This window comes from Homo sapiens, chromosome 20 (genome assembly GCF_000001405.40).
Source record: "Homo sapiens chromosome 20, GRCh38.p14 Primary Assembly".
In the NCBI taxonomy this organism is placed as follows: domain Eukaryota; kingdom Metazoa; phylum Chordata; class Mammalia; order Primates; family Hominidae; genus Homo; species Homo sapiens.
In genome coordinates this window covers 58,841,902-58,859,949 of record NC_000020.11, presented here as the reverse complement: position 1 = coordinate 58,859,949, position 18,048 = coordinate 58,841,902, and the positions used below count along the sequence as shown (strand labels likewise).

At 50.3% G+C, this 18,048-nt stretch overlaps 1 protein-coding gene and 1 non-coding gene across 20 annotated transcripts in view, besides 3 other annotated features; one reads left to right on the top strand and one right to left on the bottom strand.

Moving 5' to 3' along the window:
• GNAS (GNAS complex locus) overlaps positions 1–18,048 on the bottom strand; it is a 71,445-nt gene that overhangs the window by 51,243 nt on the left and 2,154 nt on the right. For 5 of the 13 annotated variants that reach the window (XM_017027812.3, NM_001077490.3, NM_080425.4 and 2 more), the window contains exon 1: positions 4,617–7,234. The exons of 7 other annotated variants lie outside the window; for them this stretch is intronic. In XM_017027812.3, the coding sequence (XP_016883301.1) occupies positions 4,617–6,684 (2,068 nt within the window). In that variant the 5' untranslated portion in view covers positions 6,685–7,234. Of the gene's footprint in view, positions 1–3,736; positions 3,804–4,305; positions 4,397–4,616; positions 7,235–18,048 lie in introns of those variants that run through there. One more of the 13 variants, NM_001309883.1, reaches the window with a different exon arrangement.
• Positions 3,607–4,482: an enhancer, noted in NCBI's record as "H3K27ac-H3K4me1 hESC enhancer chr20:57430523-57431398 (GRCh37/hg19 assembly coordinates)". NCBI's record gives its function as "activates a minimal SCP1, AML or CMV promoter by ChIP-STARR-seq in naive H9 embryonic stem cells {active_cell/tissue: H9 hESC(naive)}" and the evidence as "EXISTENCE:reporter gene assay evidence [ECO:0000049][PMID:30033119]".
• Positions 4,483–5,359: an enhancer, noted in NCBI's record as "H3K27ac-H3K4me1 hESC enhancer chr20:57429646-57430522 (GRCh37/hg19 assembly coordinates)". NCBI's record gives its function as "activates a minimal SCP1, AML or CMV promoter by ChIP-STARR-seq in naive H9 embryonic stem cells {active_cell/tissue: H9 hESC(naive)}" and the evidence as "EXISTENCE:reporter gene assay evidence [ECO:0000049][PMID:30033119]".
• Positions 7,293–7,392: an enhancer, noted in NCBI's record as "active region_18178". NCBI's record gives its function as "activates an Ori minimal core promoter by ATAC-STARR-seq in GM12878 lymphoblastoid cells {active_cell/tissue: GM12878}" and the evidence as "EXISTENCE:reporter gene assay evidence [ECO:0000049][PMID:35858748]".
• GNAS-AS1 (GNAS antisense RNA 1) overlaps positions 9,048–18,048 on the top strand; it is a 31,985-nt gene continuing 22,984 nt past the window's right edge. For 2 of the 7 annotated variants that reach the window (NR_185847.1, NR_190185.1), the window contains exons 1-4: positions 9,048–9,287; positions 11,033–11,071; positions 17,405–17,517; positions 17,734–18,013. This is a non-coding gene — a non-coding RNA (GNAS antisense RNA 1). Of the gene's footprint in view, positions 9,421–11,032; positions 11,072–17,404; positions 17,518–17,720; positions 18,014–18,048 lie in introns of all 7 variants that reach the window. The other 5 variants (NR_002785.3, NR_185849.1, NR_190184.1 and 2 more) reach the window with 5 other exon arrangements.

The following is an 18,048-nucleotide window of genomic DNA, read 5'->3' as shown; positions in this document are numbered from 1 at the left end:
GCAGTCTTTGAGTAAAAGTGCCTTATGGCCGGGCGCGATGGCTCATGCCTGTAATCCCAGAACTTTGGGAGGCTGAGGCGGGCGGATCACGAGGTCAGGAGTTTGAGACCAGCCTGACCAACATGGTGAAACCCCATCTCTACTAACAATACAAAAATTAGCCGGGCATGGTGCATGCACCTGTAATCCTAGCTACTCAGGAGGCTGAGGCAGGAGAATCGCTTGAACCCAGGAGGCAGAGGTTGTAGTGAGCCAAAATCACACCATCGCACTCCAGCCTGGGCGATAGAGCGAGACTCCTTCTCAAAAAAAAAAAAAAAAGTGTCTGATATTTAATCTCTGAGCTTTTGGTTTATTTGCCTATGAAATGGGGCCCTATCACGTTTTTATTGCCCAGGACTGTTTCAAGAGACAAATATGACTAGATGAAAGGCTTTAAAAAATGTAAAATGTGGCCAGGCACAGTGGCTCATGCCTGTAATCCCAGTACTTTGGGAGGCTGGGTAGATCACTTGAGGTCAGGAGTTCGAGACCAGCTTGAACAACATGGTGAAACCCCATCTCTACTAAAAATACAAACAATTAGCCAGGCATGGTGGCACACGCTTGTAATCCCAGCTACTCTGGAGACTGAGGCAGGTGAATTGCTTGAATCTGGGAGGCAGAGGTTGCAGTGAGCAGAAATCCTGCCATTGCACTCCAGCCTGGGTGACAGAGGGAGACTTTGTTTCAAATCAAACAAACAAAAAATGTAATCAGAATGTGTTATTATTATTACTGGTTACTAATCATACTGAGAGCAGTGAGATTTTCCTTTTCAAGTTAGGAGGATACATACAGTAAGGGGATGACCCCCAATTCTTTTTGCTTAAAACCAGTTTTCCATTGTAAATAATGGGGGTAAATTTTAAACATTAATCTACCTATATGGGAAAATTTTTTTTGAGAGAAATCTGTAAGAATTAAAACCAAGGTAGAATTTCAGACTTTGAGAAGCATGAATCTTACTAGGAGACTGAAAAGAGAAAATAATAAATCTATCTGGACTCCAAAATTTTGTGGCCTGATAAGCCATGTCCTTCCTACCACACCAAAAGCTCAGTGGAGGCATTTAGAATATAAAAAAATGGCTGTATGTTAAAAAAGAGAGAGAGAGAGAGAGAAAAGAAAAATAAAAAGGTGCTTCTGCAAGATGGAATACAATGCATACTGTTGCACTTGGTGGCATAAATAATCATACAATTAATTGTGATTCACTGTATAAATAAAGCATCATAGCAGAATAGCCATTATTATATATAGCATTTGCCTACACAATTTTAATAAATGTGGCAGATACTAAGAAACTCTGATCTATTAGCCCCATTCAGTTCTTAAGGAGGAAATCACACCTAAATGAAGTTTTAAAAAATGTTTAAGCCACCAAAATTATTTAAAAACGTAACAGAAACATGGAAACAGTCTATTGGTGGATAGTGTTGAGTAAGAAAAAGGCTTCTTTAAAAAGAACTCTTTAGATATTTTAGAATTTTAATCATATTACTGATTTCTATCTATCTTTCTCTCTCTCTCTCTCTCTTTGATTTCTTAGGATTCCCTGTAATGAGATTAAATTGTCCCGGCAATAAAAACAGAAAGGATAAGCACATGAACATACATTTTTTCAAGCAACAGATGAATCTGCATGTCACAAATTAGCAACCATATCAAAGGACAGCCATTTGATCTGCATTTTCAGTGGTAGGGATGTATGGATGTCTTGTTTTATATGTTGGGACTAAAAAGTTAGTAAAAAGTCTTGTCCTACATGTGAGTAAGTCCTCATCCTTCCTCCTCTCCCTGTCCCCCATCAATAATTCAGGTCCAGAAGAGGTACGTCACCTCTGCAAAAGGAAGCCTGGTCAAAAACTGTAGCCTGCTTTGACAAACTGCAGTGGTACAGTTTCAGCTAGCAGCTAACACTGGCTATCATATTTCAGGCTTATGTTAGACATGGCCCATGGTTTGCCAGCCCACCTTCTGGACTATGCTGCATCCAAAGGTGTTTGGCTACCAGCACCCGAGAACAAAGCCAGGACAAGGTACAAGGTGACCCCAGCAAATTTCCTTTTCTTAAAGTTAATTTTTACTCCTGGTGACAAAATAAGGGGAGACAAAGGAAACTTCTAATATTCTTAAGACTGGTCCCAAACATGGACAGTTTGCTGCAGGATTGATGGCTGCACAATCTATGGTATAAGTCTCCAGTCCTGATGTAAGTAGACTGTGTCTCCTCCACCCCCCACCTCCAGGAAGAATAGAAGACTCAAATCATGGTGCAAAAGCATTCCTTAGTGGAGATCTGCTAGGAAAGCTTCATTTCACAAAGGAGGCAACTGAGGCCCCGCATGTAAGGCACATCACCAATTTGACAATTAGGGGTCAGGTGCACACTGTCACTTGGGTCTCCTGTCTGTATGCATTTATGTCCTCCCACCCCCAATCTACAGGTTTGCTTCCCAGAGCTGTGCTTGGAATATTGAAATGGGTCTGTTATGGCAAAATCAGTTGTCTGCAGGGAAACCAGTGCATTGTCATTTAATGTTTGGTAGCTTTAGTGTAGTTGAGACATTTGAAATTTAAAACAACGACCATATTATATGTCTTTAGGTAAATGACAATGTCATGATCTACCTGGATGGGCATACACAAAATGATCCTCACATTTAAAATTGTGATTTGTGAGAGCCACATCACAATAGCACAGTTATATGCCAATAATGCCATTAATAAAAAACCATCACACATTCTAACATATTTAACAAATGTAGCGCAGCCTTAAAAACTGTGATCTTGAAATCCCTTGGAAGGTCTTAGAGAAAGTCTTAGAGAATAAAATGTAAAAATTAAGCTTGTGAAGTTTGTTTGGAAGTTTTCATTTAAACCACATATTCAGACCATTGCTAATTGATGCTTTGTTTAAATGTGGCAAAAATATTTAATGCCCCAGATTTGAAGTTAAGAAGTCTTGGGGGGCTGGGGGGAGGGTGGGGAACTGGGAATGGCCAGGGAAAGACTGGGAGATACAGGAGAGGGTCTTGCTGTGGGGTGAGGAGGGGGATCCTGGAGAGGGGAGGGCACCGAGAGGTGGGGAAATGTGAGCAGAGGAGGAGGGGGAAGGTAGAAGGCCACCAAAATACCCTCCTGACAAGAATATCATGATTTTTAACTTCTGTAATCAAAATACCTTTATATATTTTTTGTATCCAGAGCCAATTTGCAGAAGACCTTACCTTTGACAAGCCTCTTTGCCCCCAGCTAAAGCTGCCTGAAAAAATTCACATGCAAACATTTACTTGTTTTCACAAGTCATATTCACGGTTTTGCCATACTTTGTCCACACACTTCAAATACACTCAGAGCATTTTTTGAAAACTTTTATTTTAGTTGCATTTCAAACACAAAGGTGACATTCCACTCACAACACATAACCCCCATCTTTTTAAACCAAGCCCCTCCTACTGTACTCTTTGTAAAAATGATTGGCTTACCTCGGGCTCTTCGCTAGGAAGAAAAATTATTTCATATTTTTTAAACACAGCCACGCCCACCCCCTTGGAACCAGCCCCCAAGTGGTTTGGGATCCGGACTTGCCTACAGCAGGTTGTGTTTCCCCTTTCCCCCATCCCCCGACCAGGCGAGCTGTGTGTGTGCAGAATACCGAACTGAGGTGTGCAGCCCCGGGCGCCCCAGATACCTGTGTGTCTGGTTTTTCAACTGTAAAGGCGGGAGGGTTTGGCGAACGAATGAGAAGTGAGGAAACGCTTAGCGCAAAAGGAAAAAGAGAGAAAGACATACAGAAACAAGGTTACGCGGAGGCCGGCGAAAAGCGATTCCCCGCTCCCCCAGGCCAAGGGCCCCGCTTATTTCCCGGGAGGCCCCGCCACCTTCCCCGCGTGTCCTCCGCACCGCTTGCCGCAGAGCGCCCGGGCGCAGGTACCACCAGAGTGTGCGAACAGCGAAAGTTTTTTGCCCGGGCCATGGCGCAAACCACAACACAGCCCGTTCCCAAGTACAAGTACACAGTCGGCGGGTAATTTGGGGGTGCCGGGATAGGAACAGGGGACACTTCAGCGTATCATGCACAGGCGAACACAGAATATGGACACCAACACACACCAACGACAAGCTGTCTGAGTCCAAGCAGCCGTGCCAGGCGAGGCGGGGCGCGCCTTCCCCAATGACCCCAGCCCACCGTGGACCCCACCAGCCTAGCCAGGGGAGTCCCGGGGCCCCGGGGCCCCTCCCCGGCAGTTCCTGGCTCACCTGAAGCCCCTGCCTGTCCAGCTTACGGTTGCTGGCGCTGGCCTGTCCAGCCGGAAACGACCCTCAGTGTCGCTCGGCACCACTTTTCTCCCTGGAGGGCATATACTTCGGCCACCCGAATCCACCAAAGATCCCCTCCCGCTCCCAGGGCAGTTAGGGTCCCTCCCTGGAACTTTCTAGCAAGTTCTTCCCGCCTTTGGCTGGACCCCCTCCTCCCACTGCGGAGCCCCTAGCCCCACCAGGCAGCCCTGCCACCCCCTCCCCGGTTCCCCGGCGGCCCTGCTGCCCGCAGGCAGAGTCCGCCGCATTACCTAGAAGCAGCAGGCGGTGCGTACACATGTAGCCCATCTTTTCGTCCTGGAGTTGTTTGTCGATGAGCTTACTGCGTTTCTTCTCTGCGCGCTTCTGGGCCCGCTTCTCCAGGGCTTCTTTGCGCATCTGTCTGCGCTTCTCCGCCAGGGGTACCTTCTTGACCTTGAGAGAGCGCGAGGCTTTGGGCTGGGGACTCTCAGATCGACCGAAGCAGCCCCCGAAGGCTTGCACGAGAAAGTTGCGGAGTAAGTTGCGCTGGGGCTTTCGGCGGCGGCGATTTCGCCGATGCTGAAACCAGCGGAGGCATCCGGAGGTCCCATCGTCGGACTCGTCTCCGCTGGAGTCATCGTCGCTGCTGGCCACCCCTTCATCGTAGTACACGCGGCGGCCGCGGCTGCTCTCGGACTTGCCCCGCCAGGCAGACGCGCGAGTAGGCCGCGGAGTAGGCGGATCGGCAGCCTGGATCTCGGGGCTGGGGGGTCTGAGATGGATCTTGCGTCTGGCCCCGGAGGCAGGGGCTGCAGAGGCCGCCCGGCGGACTTGGGCTGCCCGGGTGGCAGAAGCGGCTGGGGCAGTGGGAGCCCCTGCGTCTGGCGCAGCTGGGGCGACATGGGCTGCCCGGGTCTCAGCAGCCGCAGGGGCGGCGGGAGCCTCAGGGGCCGCCCCGGCATCTGGATCGGCTGGGGCGTCAGGGGCCGCCCCGGAGTCGGGATCGGCTGGGGCGTCAGGGGCCGCCCCGGAGTCGGGATCGGCTGGGGCGGCAGGGGCTGCCCCGGAGTCGGGATCGGCTGCGAATGCCCCGGAGTCAGGATCGGCTGGTGCTGTCCCGGAGTCGGGATCTTCTGGGGTTGCCCCGGAGTCAGGATCGGCTGGGGCTGCAGGGGCTGCCCTGGCAGCGGTATCCGCTGAGGCTGCCCCGGCGGCAGGGGATCCGTACCCCGGAGAGGGTACTTTTCCTCCCTCCGCGGCATCAGCGGCTCCTTCCATCTCTGCTGCTTCCTCCTCAACTGGGGGTCTCTCTGCTCGCTCTCTCTTATCTGGGGCTCCGGAGACCTTGATGGGCGGGCCGTCAAGCGCGATTGGGGGGCTGTCCATGTTGACGGGAGTGTCGTCGACCCCAGCGGGGGCGCTGCCAATCTCGAACGGGGGTCCGGAGATCTCCATCCAGGGGCTGCTGCCCGTGAAGTTAGAAGGAGGTCTGACAGCCTCTTGGGATGGGCTGCCGATGGCGCCTGGGACCCAGAGGGGAGGCGCGTTCGCGGCGGGAGTGAGGCGGACCGCACTCGAGGCCGCGACTGCCGCGAACTGGCTGCTGCCGTCGACTTGTGCGATAACTCGGGAAAGCCCCGGGGGTGGGCTGTCGTCCCCAAATCCTTCTCCATCAAGCTCAAATGGCATAGTCTCCTCAGGGGGAGGGCTGTAGCCTCCTCTGGAGCCAGCCTTTGCAGGCCTGAGGGCTTGGGGCTCCTCGGGAGGAGCTCCGGGGACCCCTGCAGCACCTGGGCCTCCTGGAGCAAGGTCTGGGACCTGTAAGAGAAGTTGACTGCAGCCTCTCTGGGCAGGCTGGTCAAACTCAAAGGGCATAGCTTCTTCTGGTGGAGGGCTGTATCCTCCCAGGCCTGGTCTGGCACCACTGAAGGCTCCGGGCTCCATGAGTGCTGGGCCGAAGGCCTCAAGGCCTGCATGGACCCCACTGGGGAATCCAGGCTGCTCCAGTGTAGGCCAGAAGCCTCCCAAGCTGGGCTGTTCAGCCTCGAAGGGCATTGCTTCCTCAGGAGGTGGGCTGTAGCTTCCATGGGCTCCAGCTTCCCTGAATGCCGGGTTGAGGACCTGAAAGTTGGGTCTGGAGACCTCTGGGGGTCCACAGGCCTCGCCATCATTCTCGACGGGGATGGGCTCGTTGTGAGGCGGTTCGGTCTCCATCTCTTCGGCTGGGCTAGGCCCAGCACCGGGGGCAGCTGCCCCTGGGGCCTCCAAAGGTGGTTGCTCGGGCTGTTCCCCGATTTCAGGGGGGATATCGCGTTGTCCTGACATATTATTGCCGTAGAGGCAGTTGCGCACGCCCATAACACGGTGGCGGCCTCTCAAAATAAGTTTGGGGCTCCGTAAGATGGAGCACCCAACCGAACTAGGGTGAAAAAATTATTATTATTATTTTAAAATCAAAGTACCAGCTGGAAAGTTCACCGGCCTCACTTTCCAACCCTTGTGAGGTTGGGGGGTTCAAGGCCTGGAAGGAACCCTAGACTGAGGCTGAAGCAACTCAATTGTTGCTGGTGGAGTCTTGGCTCCTTCCTGGCCACTTTTCATGCCCCCAGGCTGCCCCCCAGCCCCTCTTCCTTGGTCTATCCTTACGCCCTCCTCTCTCTTTCTTTTTGCTCCAGGCCAGTCCCGCCTGCTTGGATCTGACGAGCGTGCCGATTCGGTCCGAAAATCGCCAGTAGCGCTCTCTCTCTGCCACCAGAGGACGCCGGTTCCAGTGCCGAGCTGGCTCCGGCTCCAGGAGCCTGCTCCTGGCGCCAGGGGCCCGGGACTTTGGGTAAGGGGGCTGGTGAGCGCAGGCCTCGCAGGGACGTTTTGGCTCCTTCCACTCCTCTCCCTGACTGATTTGGAGTCTTTCTCCTCGCTTCTCCGCTGGCCAGAGAAAGCGCTCCTGCGTTGCGGGACACGTGACGCAAGACGTGGGCCTCGGAACGCTGGAGTACAGGAGCTGAAACCCTCCCTCCCCAACCCAACCGACTCCTCGGGGGAGGGGGGACTGAAGAAGGATTTCATCACCCCAGGATACCCCTGAAACTCTGAGTCATAGCCCCCAGCCTCCAGGCAGCCCCGGATCTCAAGCCCCTAGTCCGGAGCGCAAGGCTTTTGGTGCCTGGGAAGGGGCGCAGGCACGCGTAGGGATGCGACAGGTGGTCGTGAGCCCACCAAAGAAGCAGAGAGAGGCGAGGGAGAGGGGATGCCGAGTATGCAAGCACGCAATTTGTTTTTTAAATGCCTTGGGTGTACTTTTTGCTGCTTTTGTTTGTCACTTGCTGAGGTTGGCTCCGGTAAAGCACTTTAACAGCCCCCACCCCCATCACACTCTAGGGGTCTCCGCAGTGGCCCACAGCGGCGCAAGCAGGGTGCTCTCTTGTTTATGTGGATGGTGACGCAGGGGAATAAGAAGGTCTCGGGTGCGTACCACCAAGAGCAAAGCCCCCTAGGGAGTAGCTGCGGCGGCACCAAGAGAGGGGTGGGGGGCGTGCTGCGCAGAGGAGGACCTCACAAAGCGGCCTCAGAGTTTCGCAGGTCCTGCTGTTCTAGGGAAGGGTTAAAGGGGATTTTGGTTGGGGTTTAATGCCGGTTTAGGGTGGTTTCGAGACTGGACAACGCTGTGCGCACTGAACCCACAGATAAATACCATGCCGCGCGGCAACCGGAGCTGAGGTGCGCTGCTCGCTGCTTCGGGCACCGGCCGCAGCGCTGGTCAGTCAGCTCCTTTAGCCCCACTACAGCCTGCCTCCAGCACCCTTCTAGCCCCTCTCCTCTCGCTCTGGGTATCTTAGGGTAGTCGCTTTACTTTTCTACTGCTAGAGCCCACTGAGGCGGCACTGAGCCCGCCAACCGGCCACAAACCCGGCGGTTGCCCGCGCAGCTGCGCTCCCGCTACCATGCTGCGGTGAGCTCAGAGCTAGCCAAAGGTAAATGCCCACACCACCTGGTGGCCTTGATGTGTGCACATGCTATGCTCTGGTCTGGGGTCTGCAGAGGGATTGGAACCCGGGAGAAAAGCTGCTGTAAGGGGGTCACATAAAACTCGGCAGGTGCGCATCAGGTCGGTCTCACCAGTGAGACAGATTGGCGAGCCACGTCTAGGCACAGAGCAACTGGGCAGGAGGCAGGGGGTCATCTGACCTGCAGAACCCTGGGGGAGGGGAGGCTGGATGAGTTACACAGGGCGGGCTGCAGCAAGCAGGGCGCACGGCACGGGCTGCTGTATAAGAGCTGCAGGCGGGCGAACCACCGCAAGTTGCGATCCCGTTTAGTCTAATGCATCCCTCTTAGAGCCAGGGTACCACAGGCACCGTGCATCCTTGCACCCCTGCATCCACCATCCATGTGGCCACGCAGCACGGAAGGAGGCGAACACAGTTGGACCCTGGGAAACGTTTGGGATCCCCCAAAGATATATCGCTTTAGCTCTATGGGTCTACACACTTCCAGATGTCAACACTGAACTTTGATTCAAACTTTGGCCAACTACACCCACGCAAGACGGCTTAACCACTTGAGCATCCACTGAATGGCCCAACTGGGTCCCAACACCAACTCACTCCCCTCCGACCCCAGCGCCGGGTCAGCCATTGGGCAGGGGTCATGCCAATCAAGGCTGCCTGGCGAATGAGCAGGGGGCGTCAGACCGGAAACCGGATATGGGTGGGAGGTCCAATAGGGGGCGCCGCGTTGGAACGCCCGAAGAGGTGCTGCTGGGGTGGTTGGAAGCCGGTGGGGGGCGGGTGTATGGCGGCTAGGCCTGGAAGACCACGAGGACCGCTAGCGCCGTGGGGTCACTCTTCCTCATGCCACAGGTTGCCGAGCCTCGGGGGAGAGGTGGGGTCCCAGGGGCCAACCCTTGGGTGTGTTGATGGCGGCAGGCTAACCCAGCCAACGGGGTGCCACTGCCGGGCAAGGTGAGGAGCAAGAAGATTTCCAGGGCTGGGAGGTAGAGGGCCAGGACCCCAAGGAGAGGGCTTACTGCGAGGAGCAGCCCAGGATGGATAAGGAGTTGAGGCCCCAGGGATGCTGAGCCTGCACAAGTGGAAGGTCAGTAGACATTGGGGTTGGAGCCCCAGGGAGGCTGCCATGGGTGCTCCAAAGGGGTTGTTTGCTTTCGTCAGGCCTCGCGCTCACCCCCAAAGTACCATTTGTCGAGGAACGGGTTCAGGGTCTCTGTTCGACACCCTCATGGGTCTGTGGGACCCCTTTGTTCATTCTTTCTGATATCATGAGCTTTGCCAGGGGAGCACATGCATGGAGGTGACTAAAACAAATTTAACAAGTTAGACAAATACCAGTTCCTCATCCTGGAGAGTAGAGCAGCATACAAATGGAAGAAAAGAACTCCACCTGGGGGGACCTTGAAAGTCTTGCTGGAGAAAATGACTTTTTATATGGGCCTCCAAGGAAGGATAGACGCCTTGGCTATGAATAGAAGGTGGTAGTGGGGGATGGGAGACGGTTTGCCCACCACGAACAAAGGATTTAATGGTAGGAAACATGGGGCGTGGCTGGGTAAACACAACTGGCCACCTTGGCTGGCTCTTGGGGAGCAGGGGGAGAAAAGTTAGGAGAAATTAGATAGAATCTCTCTGAGGATGCCATGGAGTATGAGGGCAAGCACTTTTGAGGCTATTTTGGCAGGAAACGGAAAGGATGTTGAAAGTTTTTTGTTCTGCAAGTGAGGATTTGAGCCTACTTTTAGGAAAAGCAGAAGCAGCATGGAGGATGATCCTGATCGAGAACAAAGGAAAGGGGTTATGCACAAAGGAGATGTTTAAAGGAGAGACCTAGCACGGTGAAGGAAGCAGGAAGGCTGAAGGACGGCACTCAAGAGGGGTCCCAAAGGATCCTCCTGGAGCAGCTCTTATGCTAGAAAGACACAAAAGATGGAGGAGCCAAAGTGTGGCACCCAGATGGATGGAACACTGGGAGTGGGACAGGGAAGTCAGTGGGAGGGGCTGGCAAGGTGGCAGTGCTGATTTGGTTTTAGACATGGCAGATTAAGGAACTTTGGGCAGTTGGGATGGAGATTTTTGCAGCCCATTTTCTGGGAGGAAAGGTCTGAAGTTCAGAAAAAGATAAAGATCACACATTCAAATTGGCAATCGTACTTACAAAGATGAATTTATGGAGTCAGAGAAAACTCTTTAGGGGAGAAATACATTTGGTAATAGAATCTTGAACAATTGGCGCACTGGACAGGAAAAAGGGAGACAGTCCAGGAGTGAGTAGGGAGGACTCAGAAGGGAGAGATGGGAGCACACCAGAGGAAGGGGTTTCAGAACCACTCAGCACATCTCATCTAGACTTGGTGTTTTAGCCTCTGCACTGGTGGTATTTGGGGCCAGGCAATTCTTTGTTGTGGTGACTGCCCTGTGCATTGTAGGATGTTGAGCAGCATCCCTAGCCTCTACCCACTAGATGCCAGTAGCATCCCCTTAGTTTTAACAACCAAAAATGTCTCCAGACTTTGCTAAATGTCCTCTGGGGGGCAAAATCTCCCCCAGTTGAAAATCACCACTATAAGCTGAGAAAGGACCCTTAGATTTAAATAGGAATTGCCTTAATTTAAAGATAAATTAAGACTAGGAAGAATAAATCCCAGTATTTAACCCTGATATTCCCCCTTTTTTCCACTCCTGTTATTTCTCTGTAGTGACTGGCTACCAGACTCTGAAAAACCTAAGTCCTTTAGGTGAGTGGAGCTAAGAGCTGAAACATCAGTAATGGGGTCAGGGACCCCAGAAGTGTGGCCAAATGTTCGAGGAGTTGACCCACCTGTGGCACCTGCAAGGCCACAGGGACCTGAGGAATCCGGTATAGTAAGAGCTGGGGGTGATCGGCTAGTGGGTTTACTGGGGTCCACCTTGATTGGCCTGATTGGTTGGCTTGTCTGGTGATCCTCCTGAAGGCTGATAATTTTGCTAGCTCAAGACAGAAACATGGCCTTGATCTGGAGGGAGATGGCCAGTGCTGGATGTTAGTGGGCAGCATCGTCTGGGGCCTAACCTTGCCGGGGCTTTTTTAGGATCTGCCATTATAATTGTATAATAGCAAAGTACCTTAAACATAGCTTTCCAGTGCTGGATGGATTGCCATCATGGGAAAAGATAAATATGTGATAGGACTGAGGAAGGAAAGTCTATTAATGTGTTTATGCAGCTAAGGAAGAGGAAGTCAGGAGAGGCTGGTGCCTGAAAAAAAAGGCCGAGTTGGGATGGATAGACGCTGTGTGCCAGGGTCTTGACCCCTGTCATGAGGGGCTGTGTGCTGGAGTGTAGGGCTGCAGTGAGATGATGTGTCAAGTAGGGGAGGACAGGATTGGCTGTCGAAACCCAGGGATGGTTTACTTGAAAATTGTGTATACTTGGCTACTTAAAAATAATAGCGTCTGCACTTGATGTACTAAGAAAGGCATGGGAAGAATTTCTCATGCTTCCATTAAACTCTGCATGTCTGAGGAAAGCCAAATGGCCCAGGTGCCACAGGTGGCAAACAGTGGCGTTTTGAAAATATGGAACCCCCAATAGAAAGAATGTGTGTATTTCTTTACCATTGACTCTCTGAACAGCACCATTACAGCCCCGTTCCTTGGAAGCCGCACGTGATGCCCTGGGCCTCCCAAACAGTCTCACCTCTCTATTGATGCTTTCATGGCATATGTATTCAACGAGTAATTGTGTTTCTACTTACATTCTGGGATTCTTACTCATTACCAAAAGCATAAGGCATATCTCAAGTTTAGGTAGCTACCTGTCAGCTTTCTGGGTTTATCCCTGTAGCCAACAAAGAGAAGGCAAAGTAGAGAGAGGGAAGGGAGGTGGGTGAAAGGGAAGGGAACAGAAACCACGAAAAACAGTATTTTTTTGGTAGTCATTTTCCTTTTGGTCTGCGGCTTTGCAGGGAGGAGGTGGGTGGTGAAGTTTGCAGAAGTGCCTTCTCTGCAGCCCATTCATGTCATTGGTTGTCAGTGGGTTTCTTTCAATTGAGGAAAAAGTAAAAGCAGAAAGAGAAGGTAGAAAAGAATTTAGGCAACTATGAAGCTTCTCAGCCTCCCAGTGACAAATGTTTTCTGAGTGCTGAGTGAGTAGTAATAGACTTTGAAGCTGTACAATTAATTACTTTTCAATCAAGACTTGCTGCTGCCATCCTTTTCCCTTCAGACTCTCCTCTGCCCGCCTTGGCCGGTGGAGGCAGCAGCATACTGCTATCTGCAGAGGGGTCTGCGTGGCCAGGCTGTTTGAAGCAAATGCCAGCTAAAGGAAAAAAGCCTCAAATGGATGAGGCAAGATACCAGGTTAGAGGCAGATGCAAGGCTGATATTAGAGGTAGTGGAAAAAGTCTTTATGAAAATACTTGATATGCTCAGATTAAAAAGCCCCCATCGTGAGTTCAGACCCCTTCACTCAGCTAATTAGCTGTAGCTCAGCAACCTTCTCAAAAGGTGCCCCAAATTCTGTTTCAGCCAAGGCATGCCACTGTCCTCTGACCACCTGTGCTTGAACAGTGGGTCCAGACATTTGTGGATTCCTTCTCCAGACTAGCTGATGATGCAGCAAAGAATTTCAGGGGAGGAGAGGCCATTCCAGAAAAGATGAACAGCACCATGGGAAAGCAACTAAGAGAGAGGCAAAAGTGGGGGTTGGAGGGGAAAGAGGGAATCTCGGAAGGTAAATTTGGCTTTAGTGGAAGCTCTGCTTAAAATTTCTGCAATTCATAGTGGGAATTCCAGCCACCCTGGGGGCTTCTGGGCATCATTGTTTAAGGGGAATGGTATATTTCACCTTCTAGAACAACCTCAATTACCCAGGGCAAATTTTCCTAATGAAATCTAATTAAGACAGCGACATAAGCCAGGACACTCAGAAACCAGCTCTCACATGGGGTTGAGGGGAGAAGAAACGTGGTCTTCTGCTGGCTGCCGGTCTTTGGCCTGTGCCCCTTGGACCCCTCAAGTTTGAGAGTGGGGACCTTGAAGACCAACCTTGCTGTGAACCAAAACCCAAAGCTTTAGCCTTGGAGCTAGACAGCTAGATTTCTAGGTGTTAAATCTTTCTCTTTGAGTGTAGCAATTGAAGTACTTGTATGAAAACTCCACACCTATGAAATTGGAATTTTTGGACCAGGTCTGTACGAAACTCTCAGGGGGACAGTGATGTTAATGGTGTCGAATCTGTGAGCCTCATTGGTAGCCCTCCAATGCCATATTTGGCTTTTAAAAATGCCCTTCCTAATGTTGAGCTGAAGTCTGTCCCTTGATGCACCTGGTTCTAACCCCCTTAGCCACCAGATACTTGAAGCTGCCCTCAACCTTTCTCTCTTCAAGACTCTCTTTATTCCTTCAAACGACTTTCTTTATAACCGCCAAATTTCCTGGCTTTGTGACCCCCTTCCCCATTTCTAAATCTTCTTTTCTGCTCCTTCCCAGGGGTTCTCTTATCTACCCACATCTTCCTTTTTTTCTGTGATCCCTCAAATTCTTCTTTTCCTTTTGTCTTCCTTAAATCTCTCCCCACTTTACTGTCACCACTTACCCTCTGTCCCTGCTGCCTGGGTTTATGTTGGCCTTTCTCATAGCCATGTGCCCTGCTAATTTGTAACATACTTACCCTAAAATAAACACAAAAAATAAACACACAGGCTATGCCCAGTGGGAGCTGGGAAGGCAGCCTCCCCATTTCTACCCGGGAATAGTTGCAGGCAGAGTCCTGCCTCTGCTGGCTGAGCACTGTCAACAGGTAATGGTGGCCCCGCATTGCAGGCTCTTGGCCTTGGGAGAACTAAGTCACTAGGCTGTTTATTCTGGCTTCTCTGCCCTGTGAATTAATGGCCACTAGTGCTTGGACCAGCATAGCTATTGGAGGCGTTTGAAAAAACTCATGAGATTTTTAAACAAGGGAAAGAAAACAAATACCAGTAAAAAATTTATGCCCCCCACCCCCCACATATGGCCTTTTGATATGTAAGAAAGAAATTATAAAACAAAAATGGGTGCTACATCACTTAATTTGACAGAACCAGATTTTTTTGTTTTTGAAATGCTTGCTTTGTTTATCCCATGCATGTATGATGGAGGCAAAACTGGTTTTGGGGGATGCGGTGCGCAAACAAGTCTTAGCTGTGACAAGGTCCTGCAGTGCATAAACAGACAGTGGGGTCTAGCTGTATGTCCATGGTATTAAAATGTCATGGGGAGGGGCAAGTAAGAAGCATATGTCTGAAGAAGCGAAGAGGGGAGTGATCATGAAAAAAACAAAGGTTGAGAAAACTGGTTTATCTCAAATAGCTGTAGCTTCTATACCATTTTTTTCAGGTCTAGCTTAACCAAAACACTTAAAACTGTTACCAAAAAACTTTCAACAGCACTTGTGGTCACTCAACCAATGTTCCCATCAGTCTGCCGTCCCCCACAGTGGTTAGCCTCTCCAAGCTGCAGTACTAGGTCAGTACTTGCAACCTTGCTGCCTGCTCCTGCTCTGAAAAGCTTGTTCTTAGACACCAAGGTCAGGGACAGAAGGTGGGGAACACACACACACACGTAAAACACACACTAAATACGACTCTCAGGATGGCTAAGTGTTTCCAGTTTAGGGAAAGGACACAGTGGAATTCTGCATTCTCTAAACTGCCTTTTGAGACCATTTTGCAACCAACTGTAAAGCAGATTTGACAAAATTTACATGAAGCCAACACAAAACAGATTTCTTCCTAGCTGGTGCTTTTTTTGTTTTTCGGGGTTTTTTGTTGTTGTTGTTGTTTTGTTTTGTTTTTTTTTTGAGATGGAGTCTCACACTGTAGGCCGGGCTGGAGTGCAATGGCGCGATACCTAGCTGGTGCTTTTTATTTGAGCAACTTTCGATGTTTTTTGGGAGTTCCATTAGGGTTAAATCACTAGTGTAGAGTCAAATTGGACAACCCCAGGCTTCTTAAGCTAATCAATCTAGACATTTGGAGCTGAAAGGGATAAATAGGATCATCTCATTCAGCGATCTCATTTTAGAAGAAACTGAGGCAGAGGGGTGTTGGGTCTGACCTAAGGCCACTTGACCATGGCTAGAAGCAACCTGGGCTGCTAGCCCTGGGCCTTTCGTCTTAGATCCCACTGCTCCAGTTTGGGACATCAAGTTATAGGAAATAGAGTCATTAGTGTCAAAACCCCACAACAGAACAAGAAATTCCATCTCTCATTCTTGAACATGGGGATTAAAGATGTCATTTGAGCATCTCATCCCTCTGCTGGGTGATTTTTTAGAGAAGAGCAGCAGTTGAGCCAGCACATGACATCACTGGCCTGGAAGCTTAATTTTATTTTAGTGATTTGGTTTTTGTGATAGGTCACCTTCCAGGTAAGCAGTTAGGAGACATGCTTTACTCACACCATGGTTTCTGCTCAGTTTCCTCTCAAAAGCTTCCCTCTTCTTGAAGAGCAGTATAATAATAACTGATAATTGAGGTAAATCCATGTAGATTATTAAAAAACCAAAAAACCTCATTCTTACCAACACTGAAGTTTCAGCTTTCTTCCTCCTTAACCTTCCACACAGCTGCAGAAAATGAAGGCTGAAGAGTTAAAGGCTGTAAGCAACTCCAGGGTGAGAAAGGCTTGCAGTGCATTAAAGAAACATCTCAAAACAATCCCAAACTGTAACATTTCTAATTCTTGAATTCTGATGAACATAAAAGAGTTTTGTTTGCAAAACTTTAAACCTACATCAGGTTGACCCCACACAATATTGGAACATTGCAACATAAATTCCCAGCTCAGATAAGTTCAGTTACAAGAGCACCTTTGGGTCGCCCTCCCCTCCCCCACAAAAGCAAATTTCCATTAAGCAAATGATTAATGTACTAAAGGAAACAACTTCAATATTGGGGGCATATCATCATGTTTAGCTAGCTTTATTCTCCTGCTCCTCCTCCTCCCTCACCCTCCATTTGAAATATTAAAAGTGGCTGGTAATTCACCTATGTGGTTCACCATAAGATCTGCTTTTTCTTGGGAGCCTATCCTCACCCCGCAGACCTCACCTATGTAAAAGGGGCAAGTGGGCCTATTCAGATGCTAACCCCAGTTGAGCAGGGTGGGGCAAAGGGCCAGCTGGGAGACTAGTGAGTTGGGAATGCTTGGGGAAGTTGCTAAAAATGGCTCTGGAAAAGGAAGGAGCTGAGTACCAGTCTCTCAGGCAGAGAGAAGGTTTGCGAAGTCTATATAGCAAAATCCTGTCTTCTCAGGGAGGGCCATAGGTGCTTTCCTCGGGGGTTGGTATAGCTCTCAGTTGCTTCATATGGTCTGCACTGGCTTTTCCACCCTTGAATCAGGGTGTAAAGAGGGAAGCTGGGGGAGGGGAATTGAGCGGGGGAGGAGAATTGAGCGGGGGAGGGGAATTGAGCGGGGGAGAGTGTGTGCCGGTAGGTAACAGGTTTTTACAATTGGGCTGTAATGCAGATGGCGAGGCAGTTTGTGGAAGACTGTCTGAAAGACAGTGTGTGTTCCTAGATTGCCCCTCCTCGCTACATGTGAACATGGTACATTGCTTACAGTTCAGGAAACATCCCTATGTTGGGCTTCTGTTTAAAAAACAGCAAGATGGGTGTGAGGTGTGGGCTCGACACGGAGGGCTTTTAAAAAACTTGTTTATTCATCCTGCAACAAGGCAACATGCTCATTTCTCTAATGAATAATTCTCTGTGGGAAAACGGGTCTCCCGGAATACCCAGTCTGAAGATAGCTCCCACACTTGAAAGGCACACCAAAGAAATTCAACACAATCCCTAGTTTTTCTTGCTTGTCCCTAGAGACATTTTGCTTGGTGAACTCAGGCTGAGACATTACCAGAGGAAAAACTGAACACTTAATGTCACAGAAAGCCAACACACCATCATTGTTTACATTAAGCAGGAATTTCGACTTAGGGGCAAGCCAAAAGCGGGGCACGCCTAGCCCTTCCGCAGCCTCCAAACTTCTGAGACTAACATTGCTGTCGCAGAAAACCACTTGCAAATAAACTAGTTTCTCCGTATTTACTAGGGAAGACCACAAAAGCATCCAACCACAGTCTGCGCTGCAGCCCGGCAGAACTAAGTCTTGGGCGCCGCGACGCCTTTCCTACGGAATAGGTCCTGGAAGGAAGACCATTTAAGGTATTTTCCTTCTATCATCATCCTTTTCTTAGGAGTTAAGAACCTGACCGTCATTCATCTCAAGCCCTCAAAACGCTTTACTATTCCTCCAAATCGTTGTCATCCGTATAATTAAGCCGGCGCAAAATGAGACACGCACACCAGGAAAAAAAAAATCAATTTCCAAGTCGGATGAGATTTTTTAAAGACATTTCACTTATCAGTCTTTCCCCCCAGGACTGGCGAGGAGAGCACGCCTTCCCTTCCGAAGGTGCGTTACCAGATTGCTGCCGTTTTTGTGCTGGGTCATCAGAGCAGATTCCCCTCCAGGTTACAGATTAAACTTAACTCTACCCGTGCTGAAAATGGCCGGAGCACGCCGCCTCGCCTCCCCTCCCCAAGGCTGCCGGAGCCGCCGGCCCCTGCCTCCTTTTCGACGACTGATCGTCCAAGGACTGGCGCCGGATCCAACACCTTTCCCCAGCTCTGCGCGTACCGCGCTCTTTGGAAACGAATTGTAAGTTATCCTGATGTTAGACGCGACCCCCGTCT